This window comes from Homo sapiens, chromosome 2, assembly GCF_000001405.40.
Source record: "Homo sapiens chromosome 2, GRCh38.p14 Primary Assembly".
NCBI lineage: Eukaryota > Metazoa > Chordata > Mammalia > Primates > Hominidae > Homo > Homo sapiens.
Window position 1 is genome coordinate 127,696,879 of NC_000002.12, and position 19,676 is coordinate 127,716,554.

At 48.5% G+C, this 19,676-nt stretch overlaps 2 protein-coding genes across 4 annotated transcripts in view, besides 6 other annotated features; one reads left to right on the forward strand and one right to left on the reverse strand.

Moving 5' to 3' along the window:
• Window positions 3,141-4,340: an enhancer, noted in NCBI's record as "BRD4-independent group 4 enhancer chr2:128457593-128458792 (GRCh37/hg19 assembly coordinates)". NCBI's record gives its function as "activates an origin of replication core promoter dependent on BRD2, P300/CBP, MED14 and CDK7 cofactors, and independent of BRD4, by STARR-seq in HCT116 cells {active_cell/tissue: HCT116}" and the evidence as "EXISTENCE:reporter gene assay evidence [ECO:0000049][PMID:35650434]".
• Window positions 3,141-4,378: a biological region, named in NCBI's record as "BRD4-independent group 4 enhancer GRCh37_chr2:128457593-128458792".
• Window positions 3,335-3,856: an enhancer, noted in NCBI's record as "NANOG-H3K4me1 hESC enhancer chr2:128457787-128458308 (GRCh37/hg19 assembly coordinates)". NCBI's record gives its function as "activates a minimal SCP1, AML or CMV promoter by ChIP-STARR-seq in naive and primed H9 embryonic stem cells {active_cell/tissue: H9 hESC(naive and primed)}" and the evidence as "EXISTENCE:reporter gene assay evidence [ECO:0000049][PMID:30033119]".
• Window positions 3,568-3,937: an enhancer, noted in NCBI's record as "active region_16501". NCBI's record gives its function as "activates an Ori minimal core promoter by ATAC-STARR-seq in GM12878 lymphoblastoid cells {active_cell/tissue: GM12878}" and the evidence as "EXISTENCE:reporter gene assay evidence [ECO:0000049][PMID:35858748]".
• Window positions 3,857-4,378: an enhancer, noted in NCBI's record as "H3K27ac-H3K4me1 hESC enhancer chr2:128458309-128458830 (GRCh37/hg19 assembly coordinates)". NCBI's record gives its function as "activates a minimal SCP1, AML or CMV promoter by ChIP-STARR-seq in naive and primed H9 embryonic stem cells {active_cell/tissue: H9 hESC(naive and primed)}" and the evidence as "EXISTENCE:reporter gene assay evidence [ECO:0000049][PMID:30033119]".
• WDR33 (WD repeat domain 33) overlaps window positions 4,149-19,676 on the reverse strand; it is a 110,145-nt gene continuing 94,617 nt past the window's right edge. For 2 of the 3 annotated variants that reach the window (NM_018383.5, XM_011511436.2), the window contains exons 18-22: window positions 16,705-17,143; window positions 12,815-12,978; window positions 12,612-12,704; window positions 11,799-12,014; window positions 4,149-9,674 (exon numbers count right to left, since the gene is read on the reverse strand). In NM_018383.5, the coding sequence (NP_060853.3) occupies window positions 9,445-9,674; window positions 11,799-12,014; window positions 12,612-12,704; window positions 12,815-12,978; window positions 16,705-17,143 (1,142 nt within the window). In that variant the 3' untranslated portion in view covers window positions 4,149-9,444. The remainder of the gene's footprint in view (window positions 9,675-11,798; window positions 12,015-12,611; window positions 12,705-12,814; window positions 12,979-16,704; window positions 17,144-19,676) is intronic. The other variant, XM_005263697.4, reaches the window with a different exon arrangement.
• SFT2D3 (SFT2 domain containing 3) lies at window positions 4,619-8,364 on the forward strand. The gene has a single exon (NM_032740.4). It carries the CDS (start codon window positions 4,651-4,653, stop codon window positions 5,296-5,298), a length of 648 nt encoding a protein of 215 aa, NP_116129.3. The 5' UTR covers window positions 4,619-4,650; the 3' UTR covers window positions 5,299-8,364.
• Window positions 4,698-5,377: a silencer, noted in NCBI's record as "silent region_11936". NCBI's record gives its function as "represses an Ori minimal core promoter by ATAC-STARR-seq in GM12878 lymphoblastoid cells {active_cell/tissue: GM12878}" and the evidence as "EXISTENCE:reporter gene assay evidence [ECO:0000049][PMID:35858748]".

Consider the following 19,676-nt stretch of genomic DNA (forward strand, 5'->3'; position numbering starts at 1 on the left):
AAGCTTACCCCAGACCTCAAACTGGGGAGACAGATTTGAGCCCCACTCCTGCCTCCTTGCTTGTCAGTTTTGCAATGAAACCTTTCTTTTCTCAAAAGCTGCTGCCAGTGTTACTGGTTTCGCTGTGCCTTGAGCAGTGAGCCCATTTGTTTGATAACAAAACTCCTCAAGGCATTGGCAATGTCACCAGTCAGTGACAGGGCTGTGTGGGCCCTGAGGACTGACCTGGAGGAAGGGGATGCTTGGGAGAGGGAGGGGAAGGAGCAGTAGACAGAGGTCCACCCAGCAGAGAGCCCAGGCTCAGCAAAGCCACAGAAGAAGGGAGTCTCCAAACTGCTAGGTCCAGAGGGACCCCACAGAGCATCGGGGAGAGCCACAGGGGCGTAAGGCAGGGCCTAGAAGGCTGGGTGGCAGGCAGGGAATTAGAATTTAATCTGTAGGAAATAAGGAGCCACTGAAGAATAGTAGATAAAGAGGACATTACTAGATTTCAGTTTTGAAAGGGGGCACTGGTGGGCCTGGTGCGGTAGCTCATGCCTGTAATCCCAGCACTTTGGGAGGCTGAGGTGGGCGGATCACTTGAGCTCTGAAGTTGGAGACCACCTGCACCATCTGTGGAAACCCCGTCTACAGGCAGGCGCCTGTAATCTCAGCTACTCCAGAGGCTGAGGTGGGAGAATCGCTTGAACCCGGGAGGCGGAGTTTGCAGTGAGCCAAGATCGCACCATTGCATTCCAGCCTGGGCAGCAGAGCAAGATCCTGTCTCAAAAATGAGGGGGTGGTTGGCGCTAGCTGACCCGCCACACTGAAGGAAGGGAGAATGTAGTTCAGGTTGCGGCCCGGCAGGGGACAAGTAAACCCAGCTGAACAGAGAGGGCCATGACAGACAGGGAAGGGAGGCAGACGCCACTCTGGAAAGCCCTCAAAAGAAGCGTGGATAACACTTGCTGGGCTCTGGGAGAAAATATAATTTCCTGCAAGTGGGAGAGGATTTGGTGCGAAGGGTGCTGCTTCCTCAGGTCAAGGTGAAAGACCTCGGCAGAAGAAAAGGCTGGCTGTGGCCCCTTCCCCTTGGGGAGGTGGGAGCTGGGACCTGCCTGACCTTATGCTAAAGTCCAACAATACTGGAAGGGAGGACGCGGGCATCTGAAGAGCCCCTGCCCAGGATGTGCAGATGCGGTGGCTGCGAGAGCTGAGGCCAGGCCCTGCCTGGTGCTGACACGGTGAAATCTAAAGCTCCTGAAAAGCCAGGCTTCTCCCCGTGGGGACAAGGCCATCGAGTACCACAGAGAAATAGGGTTTCAGAACAAGAAATTAAAAAAAAAATCCTTTCAGGGCCCTGCTGCATGTGTGTGAGTCTGGGTCCTTTGCATCTCCATCCACATCAACGTCCACTGTGAATGGAGCCCAGAAGGAAGGACAGGCTCAAAATGAAGGATCGGGAGGGAGGGAGGGCTCAGAAAGGCATTTGCCTGTTCTTAGACCACCCAGGAAACGAGTGTGCTACCGTCCATTATGCTTGTGAGTGGAAAGGGTGGAGGGTGATGGGAGCTGCTGCTTCGGGGAAGTCAGGGAAAGACATTTTGAAAAGTGACATTGAAGTAGAGACCTGAAGGAATGAGGGAGGGCGCTGTGAAGATATTTGGGGTGAGGAGGAATGCTCTAGGCCGAGAACAGCAAGGACAAAGGCACCGAAGTGGGAACATGTTTGACAGATCCAGAAACAACCCAAAGGCCACCAGTCATAGACTGGCATGGAGTGGGGAGAAAGCAGGGGAGTAGAGGCAGACAGGTCCCGGCCATTCCACAGGGCAGCGTGGGCGAGGTGAGGAAGTTGCTTCTGTGAGTGTGAGGTGGGGAGCACTGGGGGAGTGACATCATCTGACTCAGTGGACAAAGGTCCCTCAGGCCGATGTGTGAACAACCGTGAGGAAAGCATGGACCAAAACAGGGGCTCCGTGGTGGGGTGCAGGGGGGCGCCCAGATGTGGGGTTAGTGGTGGAGGAGAGAATCGGCTGGTACTGGATCTGTTTCCAAGGTAGAGCTGGTGGGACTTGCTGATGGGGTGCGATTTCTTGAGGTGCGGAAGGAGGGGTTAGCTACAGGTTTTGGGGGATGAGGAGGGGAAGTCAGGAGTGAAGTGTTTGGTTCTGCATGTCACCTCCAGGGTGTCTATTAGATGCCCGGTGGAGAAGTGGGGGACGCTCTGCACGCAGAGGGTTTTAACAACACGGGCTGGGCCAGAGGGTGCCGAGAGAGAAAAGAGGGGATATCCCAGGCGCAACAACGCTGAGGTCTCAGGAGGAGGAACAGTCAAGAGAGGAGCCCACGGTGCCGTCCTGGGGCTGAGGGCCGAAACTCACCGCACTAGCCGACAGCGTCTGGCGATTTTGTAATGAACAATTTTGCTGGCACGGTGGAACGAAGGCCTGGTTGAAGGGCTTCAAGGGAGACAGGGAAGCAAGTGAAGATGATTGTTAGGATGAGTTTTGCTGCAGTGCTAGAGGAGAGTGGGTTTTGTTAATGACCTTCCCTCCCTGCAACCAAACCACAGCAGAAAGCGCATCCAGGGCTCACACAGAGGGACCCTCAGTGAAGGCCTCTTTCTGCAATGGGAAGCCCACAAGGTTAGAAACCAGGAATCACAACCTAACGCTGCCCTATCGTCAGTTTTGTAGGTGACCTTGAGTAGGTTACCTCACTTCTTGGTATTTCTCAGCTTCCCTCACCTATAAAATGAGCAGCACACTCCTGCCTTTTCTATACGGTAGCTGCATAAATGATTAGGTAACATCACTGATGGGCATTTATGCACCCAGTCCACTTTCTAGCTCTGTGTATTTGACTACTCTAAGTACCTCACAGAAGTGGAATCATGCAGTATTGGTCCTTTTTGTGACTGGCTTATTTCCCTCAGCCTAATGTCCTCAAGGTTCATCCATGTCGTAGCATGTGTCAGAATCTCCTTCCTTTTTAAGGCTGCGTAACAGTCCGTTGTATGCATATATCACATTTTATTGATCTGCTGGTGGACACTTGGGTTGCTTCCATCTCTTGACTGACATGAATAGTTCTGCTGTGAAGAGTTATACAAATCTCTGAGACCCTGCTTTCAATTCTTTGGGGTATATATCCAGAGTGGAACTGCTGGATTGGATTGTAATTATATACACACATACACACATAACTGTATACAAATATGTGTGTATATACGTTTATATGTGTCTGTGTGTGTGTGTGTGTATATATATATATATATATTTTTTTTTTATAGTAACTTCCATACTGTTTTCCACAGCGGATATAGCATTTTACATTCCCACCAACGGTGCACAAGGCTTCTAGTTTCTCCACATCCTTGACAGCACTTGTAACTTTCTGGTGTGTTTTTGTTTTTTTGTTTTGATTGTAGCCATCCTAATGGTTTAGCCCATGCTAAGTGATCAGGCTGGTCACTATTATTATCAAGTGAGATAACAAATCAGAATATATTTTGAAAAAGAATTGCATCTGCCAGGATCCAACCAAGAAAACAGAAAGCATTAAAAGGAACTTAATGGGGGAGATTAGTTACACACAGGGGATGGAAAGGCTGAGAAGCCAAACAGCAGGAAGCCGTTAACCTTACATCCACCTAGGGCAGAGGACAAAGGACACAGGGCCACCCAGGGGAAGCCAAGGTGGTGAGGGGAGCTGTGGAGGCAGCTGGAAGAATCTGGAGGAATCTGACCTGTGAGAGGAACCACAAGCAAACACCCTCTAGGAGGCTCTGAGAAACAGCAGGGCACGTGGGTGCGGCCTGGGAACAGATCAGGATTGACCTGCGTGCGAGCCAGCTTGTCACAGTGATGTGACGATGAGTCAGGACACCTGGGCGTGGCGCTGTCCAGAGCACGAGAGTGACACCAAACACATGGGACAGCAGCACCGAGTCTTGGACAAGGGGCGCGAAGGAGTCAAGGATGTTGCCAGGCCTGTGGCCGAAACTGAGAACAGAATAGAGAAGCAGGTTGAGGGTGCTGGGTGTCAACCCTTCCTTTATCAACCCCATGGTAAATGATCAGGATGGTCACTATTACTACAAGTGAGGTAACTAATCAGAACGCAACTTTCCCCAAAAAACCCACCTGAGTTACACAGGTCTGAACTTTTTTAAAAATTAAATTTTTATTTTGAGATCACTGTTTGTGTTCAGTTGTAAGAAACAAGAGAGATTCTGTGTACCCTTTACCCATTCCTCCATGTTGCAAAACTAGCACAATATCACCGCCACGGTAGACGCAGTGAGGCCATAAGACATTTCCGTCAGCAAAAGGGTCACTTCTTGTGCCCCTTTAGAACCACACCCACCCCTGCCTTCCAACTATTAATGCTGGCAGGACTTAGCCAGACCGCAAGGGCGCCTACTCCGAACAAGGAAGAGGGTCAGGCGCTGGGAGGGCGACTGCAAGCGGACAGGCAGCACCTGCGACCACGGTACTTGGGGACACCACAAAAGTCCGCAGAGCAGGCACCGCGGCACTTCCGCGAGCGCCGCAGGCCCTGCCCCTTTCGCCGTCGCCGACCAATTGCCGCCCGAAGACCGAACCGCTTCAGCGGAGGGCCGGAAGTGAGCCGCAGCTTTTCCTTTCTGCCACCGCCTTGTCCAAGATGGCGGACCTCCACCGCCAGCTGCAGGAGTACCTGGCGCAGGGGAAAGCTGGCGGCCCGGCGGCCGCGGAGCCGCTGCTCGCCGCGGAGAAGGCGGAGGAGCCCGGGGACCGGCCGGCGGAGGAGTGGCTGGGCCGCGCGGGCTTGCGCTGGACGTGGGCGCGGAGCCCTGCGGAGTCGGCAGCGGCCGGCCTGACGTGCCTCCCGAGCGTGACGCGCGGGCAGCGGCTGGCGGCGGGCGGCGGGTGCCTGCTGCTGGCTGCACTGTGTTTCGGCCTAGCCGCGCTCTACGCACCGGTGTTGCTGCTGCGCGCGCGCAAGTTCGCGCTGCTCTGGTCACTGGGCTCGGCGCTGGCGTTGGCGGGAAGCGCGCTGCTGCGGGGCGGCGCGGCGTGCGGACGCCTGCTGCGCTGCGAAGAAGCGCCGTCCCGGCCCGCGCTGCTCTACATGGCAGCGCTGGGCGCCACGCTGTTCGCCGCGCTGGGCCTTCGCAGCACGCTGCTCACGGTGCTGGGCGCGGGCGCGCAGGTGGCCGCGCTGCTGGCCGCGCTGGTTGGGCTGCTGCCCTGGGGCGGCGGCACCGCGCTGCGCCTCGCACTGGGTCGCCTGGGCCGCGGCGCCGGCCTCGCCAAGGTGCTGCCCGTGTGAGGACCTCGCGCCCTCGCCGCTGGGGAAGTACGCGGAGCCAGCGCCGTCGGAGACCGCGCCGGCCGAGCTGAGGACTGCACGCCGCTGTGCGGAAGCCCGTGGCGAAGGCCCTGCCCTAACAGCCTGCGAGTCTAATCCGGGAGCGGCTGCTGCCAGCGGAGGCGACAGCAGCGTTGGGAGCTCCTCGATGTCAGCTTTTTGTGCTGGACTTGGCACACGCTCTGAAAACTGAGATTTTGTCATTGAACTGGTGACAGGATGTGAGACGGTTATTAGAAGTTGCTTTCGAAGTAACTGTGGTCTTAGGTTCGGCTGAGTAAAGAAAAAGGATTTTTCTTCGAGTTAGCTGCTCTTGTGATTTTTCTCAGGCTGTTTTGTCATTTTAAAATCCAGTGGTAGATGTAGCTTAGCGACGGTAGTTTTTTGTTTTGGCTATACTAAGACTTGGAAATTATTCTCTCCAGTGTCAGCGAATCCAGAAGGGTATCAGATTAAACACCGAATTCAGCCACTGGACTTTTAAAAGTACTTAAGATGGTTTATCTCGGGTTTTTTCTTCAGTTAACAAAATCATAAATATGGTGCCTTATAACATGAAAGGAAAATTAGTTGTGTATTTCACGACGAAAGCGACGGACCAAAAGAAATTTCCTGCCCCAAGAAGCATGGGATCCAGGAAGGGGCGCGTAGATGCTTAACGGTCTCTTCGGAAATCCTGCAAATAGAAAGATAATTCTAGATCCGGAATACCTGTATCTGGTGGAAACCATGGATTTCTACAAGCTCGAATTATTCCTCATTGTATAGCCTGCTTTGTAAACTAGTTTACAATTTGCAGGCTGATCTTAAGATTTTTTTATATCTAATTGCTGCTGCCTTCATTTTAGGTTCAGCAGTTACTTTTAACTACCTTAATTTATTGCCAGAAGGTATGAGCCTAACATTCTGATGAGTCCAGAAAACTACGTTTTGTCAGTAGCAATACACTAGGAAGTAAAATATATTTAGAATTTAAACATTGTGTGCCAGTGGTCCTCGCGCTTGACTGCACATCAGTTACTTGAAGAGCCACACCTCAGATCAATGCAGTCAGAACCTGGGAAGTAGGTCCCAGACATCAGGACCTTTTTAAAGCTCCCCAAGTGATTCTACGTTCCCCAAGTTTGAGGACCACTTTTCTGTGCATTGGCTTGCACAATTTGAAAGTAATGCTTTTCCTGAGCTGGATCCCAGTGTTGCCTTAACAGGGTGTCTGTCGTGCCGCAGTAGAGCACTGCTGCTTCCTCCAACCCCAAAATTTATGTTCCTAAGTAAGTCAGGTCCCTAAGCCCCGTCCCAAGAAGTGACACAAGTGGCCAACATCCACACTGTAGGCTTGCAGGCTACCCGCCCTGAGATTTGGTAAAGAACACTGCCTTGTTCCCCATCAGTAAACAAGGTTACCTACCTCAGGAGGCTGCTTGTGAGAGAGCAAATGCAGTATCTTCAGAATGATTTATTTTTTTAATTAATTGTAAAGACTTGTGCCATTGGCTGCTCTTTCTAGTCCCCTAAATTTCTGTTCTAGTTTTAAATTTCTCTAGAACTTGCAATAGTTGGGGGTTTTATAATGATGTTTTACAATGTTTATTTCTTAAATAAAAACTTAAAAATTCAACATTTCTCAGCTGGTGGCTCACACCTGTAATCCCAGCATTTTGGGAGGCCAAGGCGGGAGGATCACTTGAGGCCAGGAGTTCAAGACCAGCCTGGGCAACACAGTTAAACCCCATCGCCACAGAAAATCTTCAAAAAATTTGCCAGATATGGTGGCACACAACTGTGATCCCAGCTACTTGGGGTGGGGCTGAGGTGGGAAGATCACTTGAGCCCAGGAGGTTGAGGCTGCAGTGAACTGTGATCACACCACTGCACCACAGCCTAGGCAACAGCGAGACCTTGTCTCAAAAATTTTTTCTCAAATCAAACATCATTGAAAATCTACTTTTTATAAGCTTCAAATCACAACATCTAGTATGTATGCTGACAGTGATGTTTTTAAATGCCATATATATTTAATAAGTATAATGTAGAGGTTTATTGTTTAAATGAATTCACTCTCAAAATGTGATCTGTCAAGTCCAGTAGAGCTTCAAGGTAAAATGAAAATTTTTAAATGTGATCTGGTTATCTGCTTACTGAGATACTATGTTTCTAAAGTTAAAGCCCAAAATAATGAAAATTTTTCCACTAGAATCTCAGGGAAAAAAAGTCTAATCTTGATATGGGTTTGGTCTCTGGATCCGGTTTTAGCTTCATGAAATTTGATTACAGTTTCTCTCTCTTTAAGCTATACCAGTTGGGGGTGAGTGAAGAAATACCCATAACCTAAAGCAATCTTGAGCCTCCTAATAGCATGTTTATGGTGGAGCGCTGATTAAATAAGCTGTAATTTCAAAGTTAAAAAAAAAATAGTCTCTAGATTCTAACACTGAAAAGCAGTGTATATGGCTGACATTTTCTCACTCCACAGAAATCAATTAGCTTTTGCTGTTTTTTACATTCATAGAGAACCAGTTAAATTTTCATATCCTGTTAAACTATATCAGTATGCCTTTTCTAAGCAACCATTGAAACTTCCAGCACCAGCGGCCAGGTACTGTGGCTCAGATCTGCAATCCCAGCACTTTGGGAGGCCACAGCAGGTGGACCGCTTGAGCCCAGGAGTTTGAAACCAGCATAGACAAAGTGGTGAAACTCCATCTCTACAAAAAACACACACACAAAAAATTAGCTGGGCATGGTGGCATATGCCTGTAGTCCTAGCTACTAGGGAGGCTGAGGCAGGGTCAAAGCTGAAGTGAGCCGTGATTGCACCACTGCACTCCTGGCTGGGTGACAGAGCAAGACTCTGTCAAAAAAGGAAAAGAAAAAAAGAAACTTCCAGCACCACTAAATTTGCCAAATAAATTTGACTGATGCCAAAACTGAAGCTGCCAATGTAATGAAATGTTAAGGTGGCCATAGGACAGTCCTTTTAATAAAAGCTTCCATGTAAAACCAAAATAAAGGTCAGTATAGAAAGTATCATGGGGTATATAACAAACTGAATTTTTGGCTTCCAATCCAAACTGGGCTAAATGGTATGTTTATTTTAAACAAGGAATTTGCCATGGACAAGATCTATCTGGCTTACTGTGAGTTAGAAGTACGCCCTGCCGTAACACTGGTATTTCCACATAGTATGGAAGAGGAAGAGAGGAAAACTTAATTAAGTGTTGCAAAATTGTTTGAGGACCTATTTTGGTCCATTCCTTATCAACTCCATGTGTGATTTCAAGTTATCTAAAGGGCATGTGACTTTATTTCTGACTAACATCAAGTTCCTCTCCTCATCATAACAAGGCGATTCAAACCTAAACTGTGATTCTTAGGAGATGCTTCCAAGGGGAAGCTCCCTCGTTGGACATCCAGAAGATTGCATTTTCTCTTCAGAGTACAATTTTCCATCTGTCAGAGCATGTCTGAATAAAAATTTGAACCTACTACAAACTACATTAGAATAATTTTCAAGTATTTTTCTGTCACAAAAATGGTGTGACAGAATGTGTTGAAAAACACAAAGTTCACAGCTGAGATTAATTTAGATAACCTAGTGGTTAATATGCTCATGAACATCAGCAACAACCGTGCATTCCTTGGCAGATGGGATGCGATGGAAACCAAAGGTTTCCTTAAGGCAAGCACTTCACAACTAGTTTTCTGTCAATTCTTGCGTAAATCACATTCTGTATTCATACAAAAACTTTGTTTTTCTCTGACAAACTGTACACATAGAAACAAATTTCCAAATGGACAGGAACTTAAATTTGTGGAGATGCCCCATGTCTTGTGAGACTTAAAAAAAAGAAAAAGATCCCAGCTTTTATCTTCACAAAACAACATGGGAGTTGGGGCAATGAGGGTGGACAGGACAGGGCCAGCCAGGCTGGTAGCTGGCAGCAGTCTCTTCATCTTGAAGACCTCATTGAGGGTTCCTGGGATTCAGGTGCCCAGAAAAGAGTTCAGGGCTACAATGGTGCAGGCTTCCTTTTGTTTCTCTTGGTGAGTCCACAAGAAGTTCTTACATACTGTCCAGAGAGGCCTCAGGGTACTCAGTTCCAGCTTCTACCGACCCCTTCCACCACCCCGTGAAGCTCCTCGCCTCGGCGGGCCAGAGTTCATGTTACTCCCTCTACCCCAGTTACTGCCACTCCGGCCCCCTCGAGAAGGGGTGCCACTGCCTGGAGGGCCCCCAAAAGGTTCATCTCTGTGGTATCCATCGTGGTGCTCTCCGTCTAAGGAGCTGGAACGCCCAGATTTGGGCACTCTCTGAGCAGGTCCTGGGCCCCCTCGGCCTGAAACAAAGAAAATTTCACATGGGACTTTTTGTATTAGCAACTGTTTGTCAGTAACTCCCAGTACAAACTTTACTCTCTGATGACAATGGACCAGTTCTGGTGGGTGCCAGGGAGACTGGCAGTGGTATTCAGCGTACTGAGAGGTGTGCCTCTACCCTTTCCTGACCCTGCCTCCCCCTTCCTGGCTCATGGCCATGGGCCTCAGCATCAGCCAGATCCATGCCCCCAGGGCTGTGTGACAGACGACAGGAAGCCAAGAGATGAGCAAGGAGCACCTTCAGGGAGACCCGGGCCACACTGGGCCATGTCCCAGGCCATGGGAAGTGTATCTGCCTGCTCCCAGCCACCAGGGTATATTGAGGGAAGGTTTGAATATACTGACTTAACTTTGGAAGTACACACTGCTAATGTTAATAAAAAGTGCTCCAACTAGGACAAGCGTTCACTGGGACTGTCCCGTGACATGTGGCACTTTTGGCTTCCTTTTCATAATTAGTAAAATAAAGTATTTCTTGAAAAAACAAAAGAAAAGCACAAAAACCCAAAAACCCCACAAAACACTGGCTTTCAGGTTCTATCACCGAGGCACAGCTTAACCTGCTTCAGACTAGTATGCACAAATGTTTAGGTACTATTAAAATTCTTTCATTCTGTTGCAGCTTGAGAATATATTTAAAAAAAAAAAAAAAAGAAAAAAAAGAAAGGAAAAGGAAAAAAAATTCTATCTTGTAAGATTTTTTTCCTCAGGAAATGATAGGATTTGGTCACATCTCCCATAATGCACTCTCAGAAGATGACTGCAAACTCTCCGCTGTCTCATATTTTGTAATAGAATATGAATCTAGCTGAGATGAAGTTAGGAGAGCCAGCCAAAGGAACAATCTTGGCTTCTTTTCTTAGAAAGTGCAGCTTCAACCCACCTGAGGCACCTGGGCAGAGTGTCAGCTACTACATCATTCCCATGCTAACTGCATGTCCTTGACCAGAGGGACCTAATAATGGTGTGCTGAGTGCCCAAGAAAGTCAGCCAAGGTCACAGCACACTGGCTAGTAGTACAATGTGTTTATGCAGGGTGATCTATTGATGATACATAAGGTAATTTCTGAGGGTTTTGTTGAGACAAACAACTATCAAGATCAAATGGCAGGCCAGGCATGGTGGCTCATGAGAGGCCAAGGCAGGTGGATCACTTGAGGCCAGGAGTTCGAGACCAGCCTAGCCAACATGGCAAAAGCCCATCTCTCTAAAAACACAAAAGCATGGTGGCGCACACCTGTAGTTCCAGCTACTGGGGAGACTGAGGCACAAGAATCACTTGAACCTGGGAGGCGGGGGTTGCTTGCAGTAAGCCAAGATCACACCACTGCACTCCAGCCTGGGCGACAGAAAAAAACCCAAAAAGACCAAATGGCAGAACTCTGTACTGGAAGGACCGTCCATACAGACAGGCCAACTTCAGGAGCAGAGCACAAGCTGGGGCATGCGGGGAGCAGCCTTCCCAGAAGCTTCCGAGCCACACCACCTATGCACCTCCCCCGCTGCCTTGCAACCAGAGTTGTATAGTCAGCCTTCAGAGGCAACTACTCCTGGCTAAAGTTAGTGCTGCCTATAACATAAAGCTCCACAGTTCCCAGTTGAGGAGATAATCTACTGTGCCCCTGGAAACACTGCCCATAGACCATGTTTCCCAAAGTCTCTGTGACTTTGAGCACAAGCAGTGTTCCTCTAGACCCAGGCTAAAAAAACCAACAGACCACCCAGGAGAGGACAACTCTTCCCCTCCCACTGAGAGCCCTTGAGGGTTCCAAGCAGCCTTGTGGAGGGCAGACTGCCAAGGAGAGCAGGGCTCCCAGACAGCAAGCCGAGCAGAGAGTGCTGGGGCATCTTGGCAGAGGGCTGAAGTGAAAACCTCAAGTGAACAGGGATTCCCGGAGGCAAGTGGAGTCCTGTGCAGGGCTGAGTTGCAGTCCACCAGATGACAGCTCGTGTGGCACTGGCACCACATTTAGGAGCATGTGCCTCTGCACAGCCCAGGCTGCAAGGGCATGTGCAGCAGATACAGGCAAGGCCTCCATCGGCCCCTGCATCTCCTGGAACCATAACCACTGGCCTGCTCTTACCTTTGCCTCCTCGGTCTTCAGAAGGGCCTCCTGGGGCCTCCATCTCTCTGTGCTCAGAAGTGCCTGGGCCATCATGCCAGGGGCGCTTTCGGGGAGGTAGGGATGCCATGTCCATGCCTTGGAGAGAAGAGGAGCGTTCTCTGCTGGCTGGGGAATGACCGTCGTGAGGGGGATGATCAGGGCGGGGAGTATCACGAAAATGTTCATGACCTGGCCCTGAAACAAGAAACAAATCTCCTTACAGGAAAGCACAGTGTGACCAGAAGTAGATGGGAATGACACTGTGAGAGTAAGGAGCAACTCGAGAGCCACCGTTCACTCATGCTGAATGCCCGCCAGAGGCCAAAGGGTAAGCCACCCAGACATCAGGGTGCCTCCTCATGTAAGAGGGGCAGGTAAGATCCAGAGAACTCGTTCTCAGGCATTGTAGTATCAAGACGTCTTTACAGTCTCAAATTACTGAGGACTCCTAAGAGATTTTGTTAATGAGAGTTGTAACTGCGAATATTTACCATATTAGCAATTGAGACTGGGGAAATTTTAATTCACTTAACTTTATTCTCCAAAAGCAATTTAGTGGAAAGAGCAGTCCCGTTTTATACTCAGATAGATCCCTGTAATGTCTGGCGGATTCCTCTGCTCTGCATTCCACCTGCTGAGATCAAGTGCTGCGGCTGCAGGACAGGAGACAGCCCAGCCCCCCGGGAGACATGAGCTGGAAAGAGGAGACCCGGTGCACCCCAGAGAGGGCCCTCAGAACTCACTTTGTGAACTGCAGTCTAGAGTTACCCAACAAGCGGTTCTTTTCCTTACCAGGCTCTCTGTTTCCATCCCAGGAATCTGGCTTCCGCCCTCCTTCAAAGCGAGGGAACTCGTCAGGAGTGGGAAGTAAACCCTTCCTTCCTCCTACACAACAGAGCAAACAATGCTGCACTCAGACTGTTCCTGGTGTATTCACAACCAGTGTATTCTGCACCCTATCCTTCCAGACCAGGTGTCTTTAGTAACTCGCTCACCTCGTGGGGTACCCCGACCTCGACCTCTGAGATCTCGTCCTCGGGCCGCTTCCTCAGAAGCATCAAAATTCTCCTCTGGACCAAAGTCTTCAGGACCAGGAAAACCATCCCTTCCTCTGGGGGGAGCACGGCCCTCATGCCTCGGCGGGGCTCCTCTTCTGAAACTGTAAAGAGAAAACAGCAGAATGTCCATCTCAGAGAACACCTTGCCACTCTAAGTTCATGTTTCAAAGAAGCATATGATATGAGAAAGCATGATACAATGTTAATTGGGAGGAAAACAAAATAAAACTATATATTTTTGAAAGGATACATTATATAATCCTATTAATACTATCAGAGGCAAAAACAGACCAGAAGGAAACACACCAGAGTGTGGAGTTACTTTAAGCTTCTTTTAGGCTTTTAGGTATATACAAGTATTACTTCATTTCATTCATTTCATTTTCACAGCCACCATATGAAGCTGGTATTATCAGCAGTTCCACTGATGAGAACACTGAGGCCCAGATTGCTGACATCATTTATTCAAGGACACAGAGTAAGTGCTGGTGATCTGAACTCAGCCAGTCTTGACCCTCGGCCCAGGTTCTGTATCACTGCCTCACAAATACTTATCATTATCATCTACATTTGTATGATGAACATTTATGACATATAATCAGAAAAATGGGGGCACAGATCGTGTCTGCCAACCATACTGGACCTGTCTGTAGGTAGGGGCTCTGCCATCTGCCCCAGCCCACAGCCTCCACCCAGGGGCAGGCCTCCATGACCACGAGTGGCACTCATGGCCCGAGTCCACAGCTGATGGGCACACAGGTCAGCATCTGGTTTACAGGCAGCGATCCACTGGCTAGCTGGCAGTCTGGAGCCCTGCTTAGTGAACAGCTTCCCCTTCTCTCAGGAATTTTGGAGCCAGGAGACTACACTGACTGGGAGTATTGCTGAGGCAGAGAGGGTACCAGGAGGTCTGTGCGAAAGAAGAGAAAGTGACCTTCTGGCAGCGCTCACTGAGAGGCGGTGGCGCCACCCTGCAGGGCCCCTCTGCATGAGCTGCATGGCCTCCTCCCAGGCCAGGCCTCTGCTCTTCCTCAGGTTTCCATTCCATTGCCTTTATCCTAATCTTCTACTTGGAAGATTTTCAAACTTACAGTAAAGCTGAAAGAACAGTACAATGAACATCCCAGATCCTCCACCCAGATCAATCCCTTCTTAATATTTTGCCACACGTGCTTTATCTTCTCCGTCCAGCTACTCACAAACATGTTTTCTAAACCATTTGAAAATCAGTTGCCAACACGAGCTTTACCCCTAAATCCTTCAGTCCATTTCTTCTAAGAACAAGAACTTTCTCCTATATAATCACAATACCTTTACACTCTCACACACCAGCCTAGGCTATGGGTCTGCACTGACAGATGAAACACAATACAAATCAAGACAGGATGGCCGGGCACAGTGGCTCACACCTGTAATCCCAGCACTTTGGGAGGCCGAGGCAGGCAGATCACTTGAGGCCAGGAGTTCGAGACCAGCCTGGCCAACATGGCTAAACCCCATCTTTACTAAAAATACAAAAATTAGCTGGGCGTGGTGGCGCGTGCCTGTAATCCCAGCTACTCGGGAGGCTGAAGCACAAGAATCGCTTGAACCCAGGAGGTGGAGGCTGCAGTGAGCCGAGATCATGCCACTGCACTCCAGCCTGAGCGACAAAGCAAGATTCCCTCTCAAAAAAAAAAAAAAAAAAAGACAAGGTAAAATGTAACATTTTGCACAAGATGCAGAGATTCAATAAGTCAGTGAACATTACGCAGATGTAAAGCTCTTCTAGTCATAAAAAGCCATGTCAAAGGTAATGCTTGGATATCATTAAGAGAGGGTCTTAAAAACACTGGGAGCCCTTACGTCTTTATTTTTAACCTCCCTATCTCCCCTCCCCCAAAACAATTGCTTCCTTAGCCCCGACTATGTCATGCTTCTGAGCCTGTCATCAGCCTTGCTTTTCTCACCACCCCTGAGGGTGGGCTGGCCAACCCTAACTCAACCACATATACAGATATATATATATATATATATATATATATATTTTTTTTTTGAGACAGAGTCTCGCCCTGTCACCCAGGCTGGAGTGCAGTGGTGCAATCTTGGCTCACTGCTATCTCTGCCTCCCAGATTCAGACGATTCTCCTGCCTCAGCCTTCCGAGTAGCTGGGATTACAGGCACGCACCACCATGCCCGGCTAATTTTTTGTATCTTTAGTAGAGACAGGGTTTCACCATGTTGGCCAGGCTGGTCTCGAACTCCTGACCTCGTGATACACCCACCTCGGCCTCCCAAAGTGCTGGGATTACAAGCGTGAGCCACTGTGCCCGGCCTTAACCATCTATTCACAAGAAGAGTAAGAAATGGAATGAAAGGACCAGGCGCAGTGGCTCACGCCTATAATCCCTGCACTCTGGGGGGGCTGAAGAACGTGGATCACTTGAGGTCAGGAGTTCAAGACGAGCCTGGCCAACATGGTGAAACCTCATCTCTACTAAAAATACAAAAATTAGCCAGGCAAGGTGGTGTGAGCCTGTATCCCAGCTCCTCAAGAGGCTGAGACAGGAGAATCACTTGAACCTGGAAGGTGGAGGCTGCAGTGAGCCGAGATCGTGCCACTGCACTCCAGCCTGGCAACAGAGCAAGACTCCGTCTCAAGAAGAAAAAAAAAAAAAAAGAAATGGGATGAAAGGACACGGAAGGCTAAGGAGTAATCAGAGACTATAGTAAAAGCTGAAGTGCTGAACAGCATGGGCCTGAAGCCCAGCTCTGACACCTACCACCTGCCAGACCTCGGAAAGTCAAGACACTGCTCTTATTCTGTCTGAATCAGCATAAGATGCTGACAGTCGCACCTATCTCACAAATTCTTTAAATAAAATGAGTTAATTTCCTAAATTAAAACAAATTCCTCAATTTAAATGAGGTAACAACATCTGATACAAAATACTCAATTATCATCATCTTTAATTATTCTGAGTCTCACTTGAGATTTTACTATTTCCTGGTGTTTTTTTGTTTTGTTTTGTTTTTCTTTTAAGAGACAGGGTCTTGCTCTGTAGCCCAGGCTGAAGTGCAATGGCATAATCATAACTCACTGCAGCCTCCTGGCCTCAGCTGATCCTCCCACCTCAGCTTCCTGAGTAGCTAGGACTACAGGCATGCACCACCAAACCCAGCTAATTAAAAAATTTTTTTTGTAGAGATGGAGTTACACTATGTCGTTCAGGCTGTTCTTCAATTCCTGGCCTCAAGCGATCCTCCTGCCTCAGCCACCCAAAGTGCTGGGATTACAGGCGTGAGCCACTGGTCCTGGGCTAATTCCTGTTTCTTTCTCCACATTTCTTCTGTTCCTTAAACTCCCCAAGAATGCTGAGATGAGTGTTCAAGCCTGATCTAAGTTTAACAGGAAGACTGTTTTTCAGTTTAAGTTTGTTAAGATTATTGGGCAATTACACAAAAATTGTATCTATTTCACAACCCCTTTATTTCCAATCTAGGTAGCTGCCTCATATTTCCTTATTCTAATCAAGAAGAACCTGGAAATTTTAAGTCAGATCCCAGCAAGTCTTGTAGTACACTGATCCTCCCATCTCTTTAGAAAGGACCAAAATATAAAAAAATAAACAAAACGAAAAAGATTTCTAGACAGCAAAGATTAAAACAAGACTAAGGTTAAAAAGCACACTTTTTTTAAACGTCCAAATGCAAACTCTACAGAGTGCAGGGCTGGTAATTGATATAATTCTCTTTCCTCAAGAAAAAGAAGAAAGAGACCTTTGTGGAGACAGCAGATAAAAAGCTCCACTGAAGATGGAATGGGCCCACAAAGTATCTGTCCCACCTTTCTTCTCTGCGCCCTCGAAAACGTGGGTCCTCGGGATCCCGGGGGAAACGTTCATCTCCGGGCCTGCGGCCTTCCCATGCCCCCGGAGGGCCTCGGGCTGCACCCCGGCCATCCCCCTCGCTGAATTCCCTGTGATCAGGGGGAAACGGAGGCCCAGGGCCCCCTCGCCTCCACTTCTCTTCTTGCGGTAAAGGTCCTCCTCGCCCCTCAAATTCACGTAACCGGTGGCCAAAGCGCTTGTCAGGGTGGAAGTCATCTGGTCTGCTGAAGTCATCGGGGAAGTCTGGGTGAGGGCCACGCCTATCAGGGGGACCCCTGCAGTCCTGGCCACCCCGGAAAGGCCCCCTCTCGGGCCCATGCTCAGGCCCGCCGCTCTGCTCATGCCGCCTCTCTGACATCGGGCCCATGTGATGGTTTGGAGGGCCGCGGGAGTCACCTAAAGGAAACAAAGCTGACTTTTACCATGTCTTCCAGGAAACCTGCCAACATAGGTCTGATCTGTAGCATCTCTACATTTCAGAATACATTCTTTATTGAGAATGTTTTCCCTCCTTGGTTCTCAGCTTAGTTAGGAGACAAATGTCCCTGAAGCATTGGGTAATAGAACAGGAGCTTTGGGGTGCAGATTTCAACTTCATCACCCACTAGCTAGGGCAAATTACTCATCTCAAATGAGATCAGCAGCATCTGTCCATCTCTTAGTATACACTGGAAAAATGAGAGAGCCTCCTGGGCTTCAGAAGGAGCTTCCTTTGTCTGCCCCTATTCTTTCAGGCATTTCATTAGGGCCACCTGCTCCACATCCAAGGAGGACACAACAGAGGAAATTAATGCTGCAGGCCAGGAAGCGTGCCAAGAATTCACCTCTGTACCCATCAACAGGGTGCCACTGCCACCCATGACATCCCTCCTCTAACCCCAGCTTGTTGCACTTGATTCCTCTGTAAGGTACATGCAATCACCAGCCTCTCAAATACCTGCCTGATGACCAAACAGCCCTGCTGGGCTTCAGTGTCGGGGTTTTCTGCACCTCTCTATGGATGTTGTTCCTCATCTACAATATTCTCACCATTCTTTGAAGACAGTGTTTGGAATCCCACTAAAGTTTTCTAAAATATGTGAAAATATGTACTGTAATGAAAGTACTGAATAAAAATGGAAAGATGCCAGTTAAATGTGTGATGGTTAACTTAGTTCACCTCCTAACTTGGAAGGGACTGTTTTTCCAGCTACTGAACTACTGCAGCTTTTATAAATGTTTACCTATTTTTGGTTAACATACAATTTAAATCAAACACTTTTTAAAAGTAGGTAGCGAAAGGATACTCTTGATTCTAAAAACAAAAACTGTGTTTTTAAAGTGAAATTCCTCCAATAGCCCAGTTCATGCCTTTTACTGCTTTTCCCTGGCTATAAAGACAAACCCCTCCTGTACCCCAGCCAACCATAATTCTCACCTCCCCCGCAACAGCATCCCTCTTCTTTCTTTTCTTTCTTTGTTTCTTTTTTTTTTTTTTTTTTTTTTGAGACAGAGGCTTACTCTGTCACCAGGCTGGAATGAAGTGGCGTGATCTCAGCTCACTGAAACCTCCACCTTAGGGATTCAAGCGATTCTCCTGCTTCAGCCTCCTGAGTAGCTGGGATTACAGGTACCACGCCCGGCTAATTTTTGTATTTTCAGTAGAGACGGGGTTTCACCATGTTGGCCAGGCTAGTCTTGAACTCCTGACCTCAAGTGATACACCCAGTCAGCCTCCCAAAGTGCTGGGATTACAGGCATGCGCCACTGCACCTGGCCCCTCCCTTTTCATTTTAGTTCATTTCTTTTGGCTATTTCAATTCCTCTTTACCATGCAATATATATAAAATGCTTGGAAATCTCAGGATAAAAATGTGCCATAAAGGAGTCTCTCTCTTCCAGCTCTTTTCCGTCTGTCTCATTTACTCGTCCTCTCCTCTCTACTCAGCAGTTTGCAAAGATCCTAGCTCCATTTCCTTCTGGTAGACAGGCTCCCTCACTTCTCAGTGTGTTCCTGCAGCTAATGGCTTCTTCACTGACATGATGTTGCTTGAACTTAGTGTAATCTCAGACACAGCAGACCTTTGGTGTAAGGAAGCTAAACATTTTCCGTTTGGACTTACCTATGAATATTAATCCTCCCATTACCTCTATCTGTTTAAAAGTACCCTGCTCTTCAAGGAAAGAAACCCACCACTACAAATTAGAAGGGATGTGGCCACCAGTGATGGGGCGGCGGCGGCGGTTATTCCAGTAGGGGATGGCAGGGCCACTTTCTCGGCTCTCCCTTCTCCCTTTGGTCCCTGGGAGGAGAAAGGAGGAAGAGAAAGAAAGGGGGCGGGGGATAAAGAGAAAAGGGAAAGAGCAAGGATGAGAGGGAAGGAGGTGGAGACAGACACAGGGCAGGGAGAGGAAGAGAGGCAGCTCTCAGTTTGCTGATGGCGATAACTCAGGGGGTAAAAGACTCTCCTTTTGTTTCTCTAGTTCGCTGTGGGCCACGTTCCTTCTGTATAGCCTCTGCTACCACTTCCACACAATGGGACAGAAATAAACACTCTCTAGTTCCCTTATCTCTTTCTTACCTCTAATATCACACATAAATTCAAGACTGAGCATAAATTCACAAAGTCCTAGGGCTGTAATGCTGACAAGGACTTTTCTTAATTGGATAAAACGGGGGCAAAAATCTTAACATGCACCACACAGTGCTATGGGCTTAGCCAATTAAAACTAAGAGAGTAAAGTTCTGTGAAGGGCAATCTCTGCGGTCCTCCTGATTCTCCGAGTTGTGGTTTCTCCCCGTTATGAAAGTGTGTGTCGAACATAACACAGTGTTTCCTCTCACTCCCCTCCATCCACTCCGAGTCACCCCCTGCAACTCTCCCCAACAGCGTGCTGCTCACCACGCTCCTGCTCCAACTCTGCAAGACAGGGGGGTCCCACCCATCTC

Excerpts from the sequence above, each read along its gene's own strand:
- SFT2D3 (NM_032740.4), top strand. The coding sequence starts at position 4,651 with ATGGCGGACCTCCACCGCCAGCTGCAGGAGTACCTGGCGCAGGGGAAA.